Source organism: Homo sapiens, chromosome 8 (assembly GCF_000001405.40).
Source record: "Homo sapiens chromosome 8, GRCh38.p14 Primary Assembly".
Lineage (NCBI taxonomy): Eukaryota > Metazoa > Chordata > Mammalia > Primates > Hominidae > Homo > Homo sapiens.
Window position 1 is genome coordinate 123,707,617 of NC_000008.11, and position 17,634 is coordinate 123,725,250.

General features: G+C 44.4%; 1 protein-coding gene and 1 long non-coding RNA gene across 3 annotated transcripts in view; one reads left to right on the plus strand and one right to left on the minus strand.

Moving 5' to 3' along the window:
• ANXA13 (annexin A13) overlaps window positions 1-17,634 on the minus strand; it is a 56,600-nt gene that overhangs the window by 26,823 nt on the left and 12,143 nt on the right. For both annotated transcript variants that reach the window (NM_004306.4, NM_001003954.3), the window contains one exon: window positions 5,062-5,137. In NM_004306.4, the coding sequence (NP_004297.2) occupies window positions 5,062-5,137 (76 nt within the window). The remainder of the gene's footprint in view (window positions 1-5,061; window positions 5,138-17,634) is intronic.
• The window catches only part of LOC105375739 (uncharacterized), a 46,366-nt gene continuing 40,996 nt past the window's right edge, over window positions 12,265-17,634 (plus strand). The window contains exon 1 of the long non-coding RNA XR_928607.4: window positions 12,265-12,345. This is a non-coding gene — a long non-coding RNA (uncharacterized LOC105375739). The remainder of the gene's footprint in view (window positions 12,346-17,634) is intronic.

Sequence of the window (17,634 nt, forward strand, 5' to 3'; positions counted from 1 at the left end):
TTCTCACTCATAAGTGAGAGTTGAACAATGAGAACACATGGACACAGGGAGGGGAACATCATACACCAGGGCCTGTCAGGGGGTCAGGGGCAAGGGGAGGGATAGCATTAGGAGAAATACCTAATGTAGATAACGGGTTGATGGGTGTAGCAAACCACCATGGCATATGTATACCTATGTAGCAAACCTGAACCTTCTACACATGTATCCCAGAACTTAAAGTATAATAATAATAATAAAAAACCTAATAAAAATCTATGAAATTTTAAAGCTAAAAAAGAAAAAAAAGGGCGAGAAACCAGATTGCAAAACAGTCCTGAGACGGCCCAGCAACAACCTGGACGTCGGGGGAGGCTATGAAAACAACACTGGATTTCCCCCAAGTTCTTTGAGTCCAGGTCTCAGGTTGATCCGGGGGGTGTTTCTACTACCCAGTCACTGAACAGTGACCTCACTTTACATTTCACAATATGTGTATCGTATAAGCAGTGCCGCTGAATGATTTCCTGTAAATACTTACAATGGTTTGAGGCACCAGGGCCAGTCCCCAGTGGTTCTGGGAAAGGCTTTTTTAAAAATGAGAAAAGAAGGAGCCACACACTGGACACTGTAATTTCACAGCAGAGGTCAAAGACGGGGCAATAATCAGCCTCAGGAAGTGCCTCCGGGCCTCCTTGGTTTTGCTTTTCCGAGAAATTTTCTGGGAAGATACCGAGTCACATTTCAGCAGGAAGGGGGCTCCAGACAGGGTGGGAAGCCCCCAGGCCCTTGTGGCAGAACAGTGATCGGGGCTGTGGTGGAGGCTCAGCTTTCCCTTGGGCTCCAATGCCAGCCCAGCCTGCCTGGCTGGGCCCAGGAGGCTGCAGCCCCCGCTCTGGTGCTTAAGGGTCACTCTCTTCTGCTAGCACTGCTGGGCCGCGCAGTCCCTCATTTCTCCTTTGGAAATGGGAGTGCAAGGAAGACAGATGAAGTAATGAATGGGCACAGTCCTGCCTGCCTGAGCAAGTCACTGCTTCCCACTTGTTCACTGTCTCAGTTTCCGGAGGGGAGGCTGCTGATTCAATGACCACAAACTTGATAGCTTAAAACAACAGCAGTCTATTCCTGCACAGCTCTGGAGGGTGGAAGTCTGAAATCCTGGTGTCGGCAGGCCCACAGTCCCTCCAGCAGCCCCGGGGCAGTGTCTGTTCCTTGCCCCTCCTGGCTTCTGCCGGGAACCCTTAGCATTCTTGGGTTTCTGGCCATATCTCTCTAGTCTCTGTCTCCATCTGCCCATGGCCTTCTCTGTGTGTCTCTGTCTCTCCTAAGGACACTTGTCATTAGATATAGGGCTCACCCAGGTAATCCAGGATAATCACATCTCAGGATCTTTAACTTAATTATATCTGCAAAGACGCTTTTTCCAAACAGTCATGTTCACGGGTTCTGGGGGGATATATTTTTGGGGAGCCCCCATTCAACCCAGTTCACCCTGAGTGATGGAGAACAAGGGCGCGCCTACTCAATGCTCATACCGATCTCACTGGCTTTGTGCAGATTTTGGATCCCAGCACATTGTTCCAAAGGAGGCGATCCACATGCAACGAGGGCCAATGAGGTGCTGGGCTCTGCGTTGCCTGCTTTATCCCTCTCCATGTGAGGAGACATTGTTATCCTCATTTTGTAGATGAGAACACAGGTTGCACATTCACTCTCCCTCCCTCCCTCTCTTCCTCTCTCTTCTTTCTTCTTTCTCTCTCTTCCTCCTTCTCTTCTTTCTCTCCTTCACTCTCTCCCTCCCTCTCTCTTCTCTCTTTCTCTTCTCTCTCCCTATCTTCTTTCTTTTCCTCCCTCCTTCTCTGTCTTCCTCCCCCCATTCTCTAGCTCTGATTTATTCAAGAATTCTTAACGCATTGATGCCTGAGGTTGCAGTTTTTTGAATTTTTGCAATCAGACCTTGGCAATGACCTTGAGCAGTAGGATATAAATAACTCCCACATGCTTAGTGTCCCAATAATGGAACACTAGGCATAAATGGGTTTTAATATGTAGCCATAGCTTGTACTACTTTCCTACCAGATCTTCCCAATCCCAACTCCTGCAGACTTGTCAACATTTCTTGGGCAAGGCTACCATTCTATGGCTAGATAAGTTTCATATATGTATGTGTGTATATATTTGAGATGGTGTCTCTCTTTGTCACCCAGGCTGGAGTGCAGTGGTGCCATCTCAGCTCAACTGCAATCTCCACCTCCCAGGTTGAAGCGATTCTCCTGCCTCAGCCTCCCGAGTAGCTGGGACTACGGGTGTGCACCACCACACCCGGCCAATTTTTATATTTTTAGTAGAGACGGGGTTTCACCATGTTGGCCAGGCTGGTCTCAAACTCCTGACCTCAGGTGATCCACCTGCCTTGGCCTCCCAAAGTGCTGAGATTACAGGTGTGAGCCACTGCGCCCAGCCAAGTTTCTTATATTAAAGCAAAATATGTTTCCTTGGAACTTCTACCATGGATCCAAGTTTTATTCCTCTGGAGCCATACAAAAAATTTGTGGCCATATTTATTCTACCATGACACCCATTCTAGGAAAGTAAATCTCTACTAATCCACTTCTATGTAAAAAACCTATCACTTGTTTTTGTAAAACATTATGCCAAGTAAAAGAAGCCACATATCATATGATTCTATTTATGTGAAATGTCCAGAATAAGCAAATCTGTGGAGACAGAAAGCTGATTAGTGATTGCCTGGAGGTGAAGGGAGGAAGGGGCTGCTAATGGGTGTGAGGTTTCTTTCTGGGGTGATGAAATGTTCTGGAATAAGTGGAGATGGTCGCAAAATCCTGTGAATATACTAAAACTCTGAACTGCATGCTGCAAAAGGGTGAATTTTATGGTATGCAAATTATATCTCGATAAGCAAAAAATTAGTTTAATAAAACATTCTGTGGACTGACATGGCTCCTACCTATTGTTAATGACACTGAGCAATGTCTTCTCAGTCTGTCCCCACCCCCTCCAGGACTGCAGCCATGTGGCTGAGGTGCCCTAGCTAGGATGTCTCTAAATTGGTGGCATTTGGAGTGAGTGACAAGAATATGTTCAATCACAGTGTTCCCCACTTACTGGCTTGGTGACTTTGGCTGTCTTACTTAAAATGTCAGGTCATCAGTTTCCTCAGCTGGAAAATGGATTTTTGTAAGAACTTGATGAGATTTTGTATATAAAGTGCTTAGTCCAATGCCTGAAAGTTTAACCGTTTCTCAATAAATGTAAAAAAGAAAATCTAGGAAATTAATCCACTTTGCCCCTTGACCCCTCTGTCTCCTTCAATGATTTCACTTGCTTGTTGTTCTGGAACTCCTGATCAGCAAGCCCAGAGTCAATCAATTTTTCCCGTCCTACCTCCAAGGATACAGGGGAAAATCACACAACCATGTGGGCTGGAGCCATGAGAAACCATGATCTCCCTACTCAGTGGGGCCCTTAGTGTGTATCAGCAGTCTTCTGTTGGTCGTCTCCCCCTTCTCTGCTACTCAAGGGCTATTTCAAGCCACCACTCAAGCCCCATACTCCATTGTCAAACCCTTCTCTTTAGCAGACAACCTCACCTACCACTCACTGAGCAATGTCAGGTTACCAGGCATGGATGCCTTCAATTTCTGCCCCAACAACACCTATGAAGGCATCTACTCCAGCTGTCAGTCTCAGTACCTTCCCTCCCTGTCCTGTTCAAGGGAAATCCTTCCATCTGTGCTTTGGATGTCACCCTCTTCCAGGCTTCTGGGACTAGACCTTGTGTCATGAGTGGCTTCCTTGGATCCCAGGGCCTCTCTTCATGGCCCTAGACCTAGATGCTGTCTCCCTCATCCCACCCTGGTCCCTGGTCTACCTTTGTTTTGACTTCCTGCAGAGTCCCCCACTCTTGGCCATGCACTGACCCTTAGGATGTAAACAGCTTCTCCATTTTCAACCCTTGATGGTTGATCTTGGCCAGTTACTCACTTGATTTAGTTCTTTTTTCTTTTTTTTTTTTTGAGATGGAGTCTCTCTCTGTCACCCAGGCTGGAGTGTAGTGGCGCAATCTCGGCTCACTGCAACCTCTGACTCCCTGGTTCAAGCGATTCTCCTGCTTCAGCCTCCTGAGTAGCTAGGATTACCGGCACATGCCAATACCCTCAGCTAATTTTTGTATTTTTAGTGGAGATGGGGTTTCACCATGTTGGCCAGGATGGTTTCCATCTCTTGACCTCGTGATCCGCCTGCTTCGGCCTCCCAAAGTATTGGGATTACAGGCGTGAGCCACTGTGCCCGGCCGATCTACTTCTACATGCTGCTTCCAGGTCCCTAATCCGGCTCTCATCAGACTCAATTCCCCACCATCTCCTAGGGAAGGGATCAGAGGGGTTTAGATCATACCAGGTTTGGCTGGTTTGGCTGTGTCCTCACCCAAATCTCATCTTGAATCGTAGCTCCCATAATTCCCACATGTTGTGGGAGGGACTTGGTGGGAGATAATTGACTCACAGGGGCAGTTTCCCCCATACCGTTCTCACGGTAGTGAATGAGTCTCACGAGATCAGATGATTTTATAAGGGGAAACTCCTTTCACTTGGTTCTCATTCTCTCTTTCCTGCTGCCATATAAGAAGTCCCTCTGCTCTTCCTTTGTCTTCTGCCATGCTTGTGAGGCCTCCTCAGCCATGTGGAACTGTGAGTCCATTAAACTCTTTTTCTTTATAAATTACCCCACCTCGGGTATGTCTTTATTAGCAGTGTGAGAACAGACTAATACACCAGGATTGCATGAACTGCACTTCTCATGAAGTTTCTCTCACCTCAAGTTCAAATTAAACGTCACAATATCCAACTCCTAGCTGTTATATAGAATCCTGAAAAGTAATAGGATCCTACTGTAATTTTGCGAACTTTAATAAAGAGGTTAGTGGAAGTGATTGACTTGCGTTAGCTCGGAATACACAAGATAGTGAGATGTCAGCTTCCTAACATCATGGGGAAGTTGGACATGAGACCAAGTTTAATCAACTTCAGAAGCAAATTAGCAACAAAATATCTCTCATACCCATTCCTTTGCAGGCTTTGTTCAGCTTTTTGGCATCTCGATCCACATCAAAACCCTGAGGACTGCTCGCTTTAGCCTGGAGAAAATAATTGAAAAGGTGAGATGACAATATACGCATTCCTAAATGATCTCTGGCTAAAATCGGTAGCAAACTGGAGGACCAAATAGTCATCCTAACCAGGGACCAGCTGTCACTTCACACACTGGTACATGCGGAAATCAGCTGGGGAGACTCTGGCCCCAGAGAGGTGGCTGGTACTCCTTGGGGCCAGCTGGCCTTGGATGACCAGGAGAATGGGCCCCTCTGTTCTCAAGGACAATCATCCTGGCCAGCTCTGCAATGAGAGATTTTCATATCAACCCCACCTTTGTGTGTCTGCCTCTGAAACAAAGAATAATACTGTAAGCCAGTGTACTGGAGTGCTTGTTCTCCCCCTTTGTCATGAGACACAGCTATGTCTAAGGAATAGGTCAGAGGCTGAGGGTTCTAGGACCTTATTACAGGTTCATATGGTGACTTGGATCTTTGCCATCCATACAATGAGAGATACATATTTGGTTTGTTGGAGATACTGTAGGAACCAGTAAAAGCACAGTTTTGGTTTTAGTGCTCCTTGGGAAGGTAAAGTCCTGTTTATATAGTGTATTGAGCTGTTTCCCATACTTCAGTCATTGGCACAATACATGCACTATTGCATCCACAGTTACCTATGTCTAAATAATAAGGAAATTATTGTTTGCTTATAATTATTATTTGCTTATTATTTTCTTTTAAATTGACATTTGTTTTTACTTAAAGTTATCTTAAAAAGGAAATTTTTGTGAGCACAAAAATGGAAACCCAGTATTGCTTGCATAAATGGAAGGTAACCATAAATATAAACACATAACTATTAAAAACTGCAATTAACCTGTGAGGTTAATTGTAGTTATGCAGCTGGTAGCTAGGAACACACCCTGAGTTTCCTGTCTTTGCCTTTTCTCATGGAGCTTTTCCTAAGTGATATGTGTCCATATATTTTCTTTTCTTTTTTGAGACACAGTCTCTCTCTGTCAACCAGGCTGGAGTGAAGTGGTGCGATCTCAGCTCACTACAACCTCCACCTCCTGGGTTCAAGTGATTTTCATGCCTCAGCCTCCCCATAGCTGGGATTATAGGTGCACGCCACCATGCCTGGCTAATTTTTTGTATTTTTAGTAGAGATGGGGTTTTGCCATGTTTCCCAGGCTGGTCTTGAACTCCTGAGCTCAGGCAATCTGCCTGCCTTGGCCTCCCAAAGTGCTGGGATTACAGGTGTGAGCCACGGCGCCCGGCATGTCCATATATTTTCCATCCTTCAGTGAAGGCTGGTTTAAGTGCTACTGGCAGTAGCACCGCAGTTCAACTCTCCCTGCTTTCATATCCTTTGGCACCCAGTGGAAGTGAACAGTCAACCACATGCAGCTCAGTGGGTATGTTGCCTTTCTCTGCATGGCATCCTTATTCTCCTTATTTCCCCTTCCCCCATTGTGTGGCCTCACTGGGGCTGTCAGTCATGAGGCTTGAGCCCCTTTGTCCTGCCCTTGGTCACCAATGTAGGCACGTGTCCTGTGACTCTGGCAATCAGGATTGGTTCAGGAGTGAAGATGTAATCCAAGCAGGATTAGAGTCAATTAGAGTCTTTCCCTTGGTGGATACATAGATACTGAGAGAGATACACGTCTGCCTCCTGCTGAGTCTGCTACAGTGAAAGTGCGTGAGTCTAGGGCTCTTAGTGCCCATTTTGTCCACTACATAAAGGGAGAGAGAGAAAGAATCACATTGTACAAATCCTCAGACACAGCAGCGCCTGTGTCCTTGGGCTTCCCCGTTTCATTAGCTAGCAAACTTCCTTGGTCTAAGTTAATATGAGTTGGGTTTCCATCCTTGCGATCCAAAGTGTCCTGGCTAACATCTGTGGGCTGAAGGTGAGTTGGCTTGAGGCTTTAGTTAATGGAGAATCATAGACTCCTAGAGCCGAAAGGAACATCAGGGCCACCTATAACCTCCCTGCCTTTTGGAACATGAGGGCATGCCCCATCTCGCAGCATCTGTTCCTGAAACAAGCCAGAAAGGGGACTGACATTGTTGTACACCTGCTGTGTGCCAGGCAGTTTATAGACCTTTCTTCATTATGCATAGGGAAGAGTGGGCATTACTAGTCTGCCTTCCAGGTAAGGAAACCTGGGTTCAGGCAGGTTAGATAATTTGTTTGAGGTCTGGCAGGATGCAGGACTGAACCCAGCTCAATTTGCCTCCTAAAGCCTGTGCTCTGTGCAGCGCACAATACTGCCTCACATTCTATAACTAGAGCTTCCATCATCCAACAGAGGGGTCGGATGACTCTGGAGTTGCAGAATGATACCTCCTGTTTTCCTTATCCAAATCTTTTGTGAGATGTAAGAAAGCTATTTGGTGCTTTTGTAGGCTTGTTGGCAGGACCAGCTACATAATTTGCTGGGCTTAGTACAAAATGAAAGTGCAGGGCTCCTTCCTCAAAAATTACCAAGAATTTCAATATGGTAACATCAGAGTATTAAGCCAAGCACAGGGCCCTTCTGAGCATGGGGCCCTATGCAGTTGCAGAGGCTGCACACTTATAAAGGCCACCCTACTTTTGATCAAATTCTGAAGGAGCTGGTCCTCTAAGTGTGGAAGTGGCAACTTCGAAATAGTAATGGCTTCTTTGCTTTTCATCCGAAGTATTATGGAGTGCCCAGGAAGTGAGGTAGAATTGAATCAGGGCAACAGAAATCTCCTATCACTCGGCTAATTCATGAGCTGTTCTCTATGTCCTGTTAGCCTCATCAGTGCAGAGAATTTTTTGGGACACATGATCTGTCCCACTTGACAACTAATGCGCTGAAACAGAGATGCAGGGCTCTGCAAATGGCTGTGTGGGTTATGCCCTGCCTGAGGCCCTGGCTGAGGGGCTGGGGCAGAACTGAGCTGGGGGCATGCTTGCCAAGCCTGGTGCTGGCAGGACTGCTTCCCCTCAAGGGTCACCTTTTTCTCATTTGCACAAAGAAGCTGTGAGGGCTTGCAGAGACCGTGTGGAGACTTGTCTAAGATCACCTGGCCAGGCAGCGGTTGAGTGGGAGCCAAGGCTAGAACCAGATTTTCTGATTCTGACAGATCTAAATGACATGCCTGCCCCTCATCCCCTTCCCGTTTTAGGGAGGCCATTCCATGATACAAATATCACAGAGTTGTAGGAGCTGAGGGGTGAGACAAAAGAATGCTCTCAACATGCCCAAGACCAAAAAACCTAGTAAATAAGTGTCATTTGATCCCAAGTAACTCTGATATCTGGGAGGTGCAGCAGGAGAGTGTTGAGTCATGTGCTATGAATGAAGATAATATTGGGACTTAATTTTTCCTTTTTTCCTTTTTCAAAAAAATTTTTTGAGACAGGGTCTCACTCTGTTGCCCAAGGTAGAGTGTAGTGTTGCAGTTTCGGTTCCCTGCAGCCTCTGCCTCCCGGGTTCAAGCGATTCTCCTGCCTCAGCCACCCAAGTAGCTGGGATTACAGGCATGTGCCACCACGCCTGGCTAATTTTTGTATTTTTGGTAGAGATGGGGTCTCACCCGTTGCCCAGGCTGGTCTCAAACTCCTGAGCTCAAGCGATCCACCCACCTCGGCCTCCCAACATGCTAGGATTACAGGCGTGAGCCACCTTAACAAATAATGTGGGGTAGGACTCTCTATCAGAGGCGCCACCATCAGCAGGGCAGGTTGAGGTCCCAGTGGCCTGACTCCCTGTAGGAACCACTGTTAGCCACGTTGGTTATCTTTCCTAATCTGCTTGAGAAGATAATTCAGGCTTGTTCCTTGTAACAGCAGGATATTTGATGTCGAAGTGAAAGAATCATGTGATGTGATTTTAAAAGAAAAAGAAAAACAGTCGGTTTGGCGTTGTCCCCTCATTGTGGTGGGGGCTGCCTCCACAATGGCTGTATTCATCAGCGATGCTCAGTGCTGATGGAACGGGTGTCCTATGGCTTGTTCCCAGGAGCTGGGTACCGAACTTCTTCTCGGGAATGTAGATGGAGCGGACATTCCACGTCCATTGTTCATTGTTAATAGGATAGACAGCTGACGATGGGCCTCAGGCCTGTTTCCCTATCCAGAGATTTAGTTTTTGAAACCTGAAGCAACTGAGCAGAACTTCTGCATACAGTGAGAATGCAAGTCAGATACAGAATGGGCTGCGGGGTACTCCAGGATGGGGTCTGACAAGCTTGTGAGGCTTTAGGAGACCACACGGATATTCCATTTGTTTTCAACTAGGAGACATTGTAGAGCCAGGGCAACATTCCTTGTTTTGTTTTCTTTCAATTTGTTTATTTTTTGACAGTGCTTGCACTGACACTCAGGAGACAGATAAAAACAGCACAAGATATTAAACGTCAATAATAATGATTTTGGAGGTCTGCGCTTTGAGCCCACAGGAATCCTGGTTTGAATGAGGATCTGCCTCTTAGCAGCTGTGTGAACTTGGGCCATTAACCTCTAAGCTACCATTTCCTCATCTGTAAAATGGGAGCAGTCTCTGTGTTGCAAGGCTTGAGGTTTACGTGAAATAACTTTTCAAATGCCAGAAAACAGGGAGCTAGATAAATGTTAGTCCTTCCCCTGTCTCTTTGGGTCATTTCTTGGCTTTTTGCCTTGTGATAAGATTTCATAAAAGTGATATCCAAGCAGATTTCAATTCTACATATTTAGATTTAACAGGTTTGGAAGGTATGTATATGAAGATACATACACAAACATATGTACCATATGTAGATATATAGGTTTCTAATTCACATATGTTGATCCCAGATGGATAGATATCTTCCATACTTGTCAAATATTTATCTTATAATGCCCAAGCAACATCATATTTATAATAGGTGGCCACTGAAAATATAATAGTAAAGTTGAAGAATGTGGCTTTATTGTCAGAGTGAATTTGAGTCCCAGCACAACTGCTTATTAGCCGTGTGACTTCGGGCAAGTTAGAGAACCTCTCTGTGCTGTACTTTCTTCATGGTTGTAAGGGAGATGGCTGCACTCTAGTAGGGAGTAGGCCGAGGCGACTTTCTGACGGGGCGTGTCTCAGCAGGTTTGGAGTGCAGATGCACAAGTCCACACCTTACGTAACCACGCCACGTGAGGCGCATTAAGTAACCACTCAGATGCGCTCGTGCTTGGCTTGGAGCCACTGTTGTCTGTAAAAGGTACAATTACGCTGCTAACGCTGTACCTCTGGCTTGGGGCTCACGCCCAGACTCGCACCCAGGCTCGCTTGCGCCCAGAGAAAGAGTAAAGCCATGTTGAAACTCCCTGCGATTCCTCGAGTGTTTTTCCAGCTGCCCGCCACCCCACCGACTTTTTTCGGATCTCACTTAGAAACTAACTATGGTAAATGGGGATAATAATAGTTCCTACCACGTAAGGTTCCTGGAGGAATTAAAGTTATTCATGCCAAGCATCTAAAACAAGCCTGGCTGACAGCATGGACTTTGTAAATGCAAACTATTGATATTTGTTGAAGGCAAATCAGCAATAAACTTTCCAGAATATTTCAAACCCCTTTCCTGCTTGAGGAGTTTTCACCTTGTAAATGGCACTCTAAAGATCAATTTCTCATTGGTCACCTGCAGCTTGGATCTGAAGTTCCAGACATATATTTTACACCGGGCAGTCACACTGCGGAGTCCAGGTGGCCTGGCATGATGTCCCAACATCACACCTTGTTAACTGTCTCATTTGACGAGTGTGAAAATTCACACCTCATGGGGTGTGAGACTCTCCCTGGGATACCTTTCTGTTGAGGTGCTGGCCATCATGCCTGGACCTCAGGTCCAAAATGGAAGCAAGTGCTGTCAGCTCTATGAAAGGCACTGCCTGGTGCATGAACAAGGCAGCACTGGTGCTGGGGGGACTTCCACTTTGGTTTTTTCTTCCTTCTAGTAGGTCTACATGTCCTTCTCTGTGTATTTACGTTCCTGTGTTTCCTCCTCTAAAACAAGGACATGAATGATCCATTTTTCTCAAAGGAGGAAGCATAGAAAATAAACGAGATGCTCTGATCCTAGGAAGCGGTGTCACCTTGGCAGAAAGAATGCAGAAAACACCTACGTTGAGAAATGACTCAGGGATGTTCCTGCTGCAACAGAGCAGATTGCCCAGGAGGGAGGTCAGCTCTTTTGAATCAAGATTCTGATACCCTCAGCCAGAAGAACCAGAATGGAAAAACAGACGCCTGATCAAATGCCTTCTGTCCCAGTCCAATTCAAGGAAGTCTTAACTCTTATAATAGAAATGGAACATTCTAGGAACATCTTCCAGGTTGCAGCAAACTCTGGGGATGGAATGTGTGAAGGAGTTTGCTGAGGGATATGATTTGCAAATTGGTTGCTCTAAGTATTATATAGTAACCAGCATCTTCCAGAACACAGCCAGAAATACACTCACTTAAGTACATTCATACTTGTCAGTCCTTGTGTCCTGATTTTCTACTTGAATAGCTTCAAGGCTGGACAATAAGAATAGATTGTTTCATGAGAGGCATGTGAATTAATTAAGAAATATGTTACAGGCAAATTAGACTCTGAATTATTTTTCCCTCTCTTTCTCTTTCTCTTTTTCTTCTTCTTTCTTCTCCTTATTTTTCCTCCCTTATCTTCCTTGAACAAACAAGTACTGAAAATCTATTGTATGTTAAGCACTACCCCAGTTGAAGTTGACTCCATGATTTATGAAGCATAGTCCCTGTTCCCAGGGAAATAAACATGTAAATGACACATGACAATTGCATTATGATACAGTAAGCACTTTTGGGTACAAATAGCTGAGAGGAGAAAGGAATTTTTAAGGAGGAGTTGACATTTGTGCTGGTTCTCAAAGGGCGGTAGGAATTAGACAAGCAATTAAATAAAAGAGAGAGGGGAGGTAGAAGAAAGACATGCCAGGGAGAGACCACAGCCTGATGCTTTGGGAGTCTGTGTACTTGCGTGCTTACTATGACCTATCAATGTGCTAACATGATTGCATCTAATCATGACATAATAGTCCACATAGTGTGGACTTGGGAGTCAGACCTACTCTGTTCAATTGCTGTTTTGCCCTTTGCTGGTTGTACCACCTTGGGCAAGCTGATTCACGTCTCTGAGCCTTAGTTGTCTCATCTTTAAAGTGGAGATGCACCTGTGCATGGGGTGGTGTGCGGTGTAGATGCATTCGTGTTTGGGATGTAGTAGCACGGTGCTGGATTACGGTAAGCACTCAGGTGGTGGCACGTAGGAGGTGGGATGCTGGGTGACATAGGATGTAAGGGTCATTTGTAAACTCTGAAAGTATTATCAAAATGCAATGGGAGTGGCATTTGGACTGTTTAATATTTCCAGTGCAGTTCCTCAGAAGCCTTGGCTGGCTGCACTCTGCTCAGTAAACATTTGACAATGGTTGCTTAGTATCTGGGCTGTGAGCCAGGAGGGGCCCCCGGGAAGAGCCAGGGAGCAGAGGGCAGAGGGCTAACTGTACACTGATCTACAGAGAACTGCTGTTTGAGCTGGCATGAAATGAGATTAAATACCAGGGCCAAGATTAGAACCAGGTAGTTTTGCCTGGGCTTGTTAAGCAGGAGCAAAATGGAGGCAGGTGAAGGGTGTGCTGGAGAGAGCCTCAGACACACCTGATTCTCCTCGGTTTAGGCTGTTACCATTGCCACTGTTGGTTAATGGCACCTTGCGCCAATATTGGTGATTCTGATTAAGCTTGCCTTGTATAGTTTTTTTTTCAAAATTCCTGAAAAATATTTTAAACATCTTTACTGAGGTATAATTGCTGTAAAATATATTGTATATTTAATTATACAATTTGGTGAATTTGGACATAGGCATACACTCATAATATCATCACCACCATCAAGGTAATAAGTATTTCATCAGCTATGAACGTTTCCTGTGTCCCCGTGTGTGTGTGTGTGTGTGTGTGTGTGTGTGTGTGTGTGTGAGTTAAGAACATTTAACTTGACATCAACCCATTAAACAAATAATACTTTATATTTAAAAATTTTTGTAGCAAGAGGGACTCACTATGTTGCCCAGGCTGGTCTTGAACTCCTGGGCTCAAGCAATCCTCCCGCCTCATGTGATCCTTCAGTCTTGGCCTCCATAAGTATTAGGATTACAGGCATGAGCCACTGCACTTGACCTTAACAATTGACCTTAACAATTTTTTAAGTGTGTAATAAAGTATAGGGTACAGTTTGCTGTACTCCAGATCTCTAGAACGAATTCATCTTGCGTAACCAAAACTTTGTACCAGTTGAACAGTGCTTCATTTCCCCTCCCTCTGGTCCCTGGTAAGTACAGTTCTATTCTTTACTTCTATGAGTTTGACTATTTTAGGTACCTCATGTAAGTAGAATCATGCAGTATTTATTTTTCTCCCTTATTTCACTTAGCATAATGTTCCCCAGGTTTGTTCAAGTTGTCACAAATGGCAGAATTTCCTTCTTTTTTGAGGCTGAATAATATTCCATTGTAAACTTGCCTTGTATAGATCTTAAGAATACTACAGATTTAAGGAAACTGAGTCCAGTTTGGGGAAGGTTCTTCTTTGAGGTCACATAAGTTCTGCCTCCTCTCTCACAGACATCTACCTTTGAACCAGGCACGAGGCTGTTTTTTCCTCCGTATCTTTTCCAAGGCTGTTTTCCCATCTGAAAGATGGTAATAATAGTACCCACCTCGTATGGGTTGTTAGGAGAATATGTATCAAGAGCGCTTGGCAGGATATTCAACACGTGGTGAGTGCTGAGTGTTATTTTTATTCCTTTCTTCCATCTTGACCTGATTCCTGCTGAGTGTTGAGTGAGCCCTTTGCATGGTGCTTTGTGTAGTGCCTTTAAAATTGGAAGTTTACTATAGGAAGCTCAAAATGACTGTTTACAAAAGCTTGTCCTAAATTAGAAATCACTTTGTACTCATAGAAAAAGAGTAGCAGGGGCTAAAGTTCTAAGAGAGATGTATAGGAGGAAAACTCAAAATTGAGAATGACAGCAAAATATAGAGCACTTCATATGTGCCGGGCATGGGTCCAGACCGTTTACAAATAGCAACTCATTTAATTCTCCCAACAACCCTATGGGGTAGGTATTATTACCTCCTATTTTGCAGATGAGAAAAACCAAGACACACAAGTATGATGAGATAGGGATTCAAACCCATGCAGTCTGGATTCAGAAACTCTACTATTGACTTCTCATTAATGGGTTTTTGGGGTTATTGTCTAAATAATAGTTATTATTTTTAATTTAATAATAGAAAAGCTGGGCCAGGTAGGGTGGCTCATGCCAGTAATTCCAGCACTTTGGGAGGCCAAGGCGGGAGGATTGCTTGAGACCAGGAGTTCAAGACCAGCCTGGGCAACATAATGAGACCCTGTCTCTACAAAAAATTTTAAACATTTAGCTTGGCATGGTGGTGTGTGCCAGTAGTCCCAGCTACTTGGGAGGCTGAGGCTGAAGCAGGAGAATCACTTGAGGCCAGGAAGTTGAGGTTGCAGTGAGCCGTGGTTGCACTACTACACTCCAGCCTGGGTGACAGAGTGAGACCCTGTCTCAAAAAGAAAGAAAGAAAAAGAAAGAAAAGAAAAGAAAGAAAGAAAGAAAGAAAGAAAGAAAGAAAGAAAGAAAGAAAGAAAGAAAAGCTCAGTTCAACTCTTAGAATGATAGTCTTTTACAGAAACACTAGATGAGACCTGAGACTTGTCCGGTGACCAGAGAAGCCAAGAACCCCTTGCATAGCTGTAGGATCAATAAATATTCTCGATGATGAGAAAATAGAAAGTAAAATGAAAAATGAAGTCACCGCTATTTGCAAGGCAAAACAGACAGCCATCTCCCAGTGAGCAAAGTGTGTATGTAGGAGAGGCACTATTGTCAAATTCTGCTCCCAATATTCCTTCTGATGCTAATAGAATCATGTTTTCTGCCTCTCATTTGTAAAATGGGACTAATACCTGCCCACCCTGAAGAATCTCAGGAAGATTAAATAAGACAATGTCACAGCGCTGGACAGGGAGGTTTCATTATGATGACTCAGGGCTGGCAGGGGAGGAAGTGGCCCTTCTGCCCTTCAAAGGCTGTTAGGAAGCTTCTTCCTTCTCCTTCCCTCCTCATTTCACACCCAATCTTCCAGTTCTCCCTTTCCTAAAGTATCTTTCCCTTCAAGTAGAGGAGGGATCATAGCTAAAAGACTACAGTGTACGAGGGGGCTGAATTTTAGCAGACACATTTTGAAGACTGAAAAGACACGAAGCCAGTGGGATGGCCAAGGTTTCCAATATGCTTTCTTCTGATGGGTGCCTGCTTTCCAGCTGGATAAATTGCCAAATATATTTATAGGTAAAATATCACTTCTCCCTGCTTGACAGAATCTATGCAAATGGATTGCTGAGTTGTTTGATTCCCAAGGGGCCCATCAGTGGGAGGCAGGGGGAGGAAAAAGGGGGAATGCTGCAAGTGGATTCCTCCCTGCAACTTCCTGAGTCCTCGGAGGACCAAAGAAACTTGAGATTGACAGCACAGAGCCATTGATTCCATTGGCAACAGTGGAGAATGTTTCTACTTAAGCAAATAAGCTGAAGCCTCCCCTTTCTGAAACCATTCCTGATCCTCTTGGGAAGAATCGAATTCTTCCAGTGGTGTGCTGAAGCTAAACTGTTTGATTGCCCAGGACATAGGGGTTCCCTGGAATGTGGGTCTTTAAGTGCTAAAACTGGGACAGTTCCAGGTAAACCAGGATGGTTGGCCCTGCTAGCTGGAGCTGACTTTGCAAGCTGGCAAGAACAAATTGTGTGATCTCCTCCCAACTCTGCTTGGCGAGATCATGCTGGTAACCTGAAATCAGTCACAGTGAAAGTATTTACACCACGGAAATTGGCAAGCACCACAAATTAGGCTTTTGTTTTCTCCTGGAGAGCTGGTGGTGAGACATATTCTAGCACACCACTGACTCTTTTGTTCTACCCTCCACTCTAGAGTCTTCTATCAGATCTTTTAACAGATACATTATCATACTTTTTTATTAGTCTATTTCCTTCCCTAGACTGTAAGACTTTTGGAGGCTAGGTTATGTCATGTTCACTCTCATATCCCCAGCACCTAGCACAATGCTTGACACATTGTAGGTACTTGGTAAATGTTATCTTCTTTTCCATGGGAGGAAGAATCTTCTTCCTTTGTATGTTACAGAATACACTGAATGCCTTTTCTTTGCGTCCTGGTCTTGCTCCCAGTTTGTATTAATGTCAGAGTCAGTGGCAGTAGTAGGGACAGAAGAATGGAACAGGAAACTTATCTGGATAGAAATCTTGAGCTGAGAATAGTGTCAAGCTTTCCAAAATGATGAAGCAGAGAGAATGAAAAGAGGAACAGTAAATTTAACCAAGGTGTCTGGGAGGGCTCAATCAGACCTCAGTTGGAGAAATAACAGGAATCACAAATGAAAGTGAAGTCCTAAGACCTTCGGGTGTGAAACAGTTTGAGCTAAATAGAGTTTGGGGCTCTTAGAATTTAATACCAAATGGAGAAAATAATGGACTCTGAGGAAAGTGACCTTGCCAAGATATAGATTAGTAGCCTTTCAACCCGGATTGCACTCAAAATCATTTGGGATCCCAGTCTGATCCTATGAAATCAGAATCTCTGAGGTACAGGGATATATCAGGTATAAATATTTCTAAAACTCCCCAGACAATTCTAACAAGCAGCCAGGGTTGAGAACCGTTAGTCTGAGAAAAATTAGAAACTTCCGCTGTTGATATCCCGGTAAAGGAGGAAGACAACTTAGAAATGTGCTGAAGGTTTACACAAGAAAGAAATCCTTGACCTTATCCAAGATGCTAAAGATAAAGGGAAGAGGTTTAGCATGAAATCTTAAAGTGAAAATTGAACCCAGGTTTTTCCAAATGGGTGACATGGAACACTGAAAGCATTAAAGCCATTGGACCTCCAGCTAGGAAAGGAACTCCTTTTAAAATTCTCTCCCAACTCTTCTGATTAAGTCTTTGCTTAGTGATAGTGGATCTTTCACACTCGTCTAATCCAGGGGTTGGCAAACTGCAGACTGAGGACCATATCTGGCCCATTACTTATTTTTGTAAATAAAGTTTTATTGGAACACAGCCAACCCATTCATTTACATTTGGCCTATGGCTTCTTTCACGCTACAATGGCAGAGTAGTTACCTACTTGCACCAGAGGTTCTGTGGCCCACAAAGCCTCATTATTTACTTTGTGGACTCCCACTGTATCCCATGTGGACCATGTAAACAGGTCCTTTTTTAGTCAGAGGATAGGACCTTACCCTTCAGCTGGCAACATCAAATTTAGTTAGAATTTAATACATTCTTTTTGCTTTCATTTAGTTATCTATATTTATGTCAACTGACATTAATTTTCCATTTATGGTATCAGTATAAAATTTCCTTTTAAGATTAATTTATATTAAAAAGTGCGTATTTAAAAATAATTAATAGAATAATTAGTAGAAGAGGT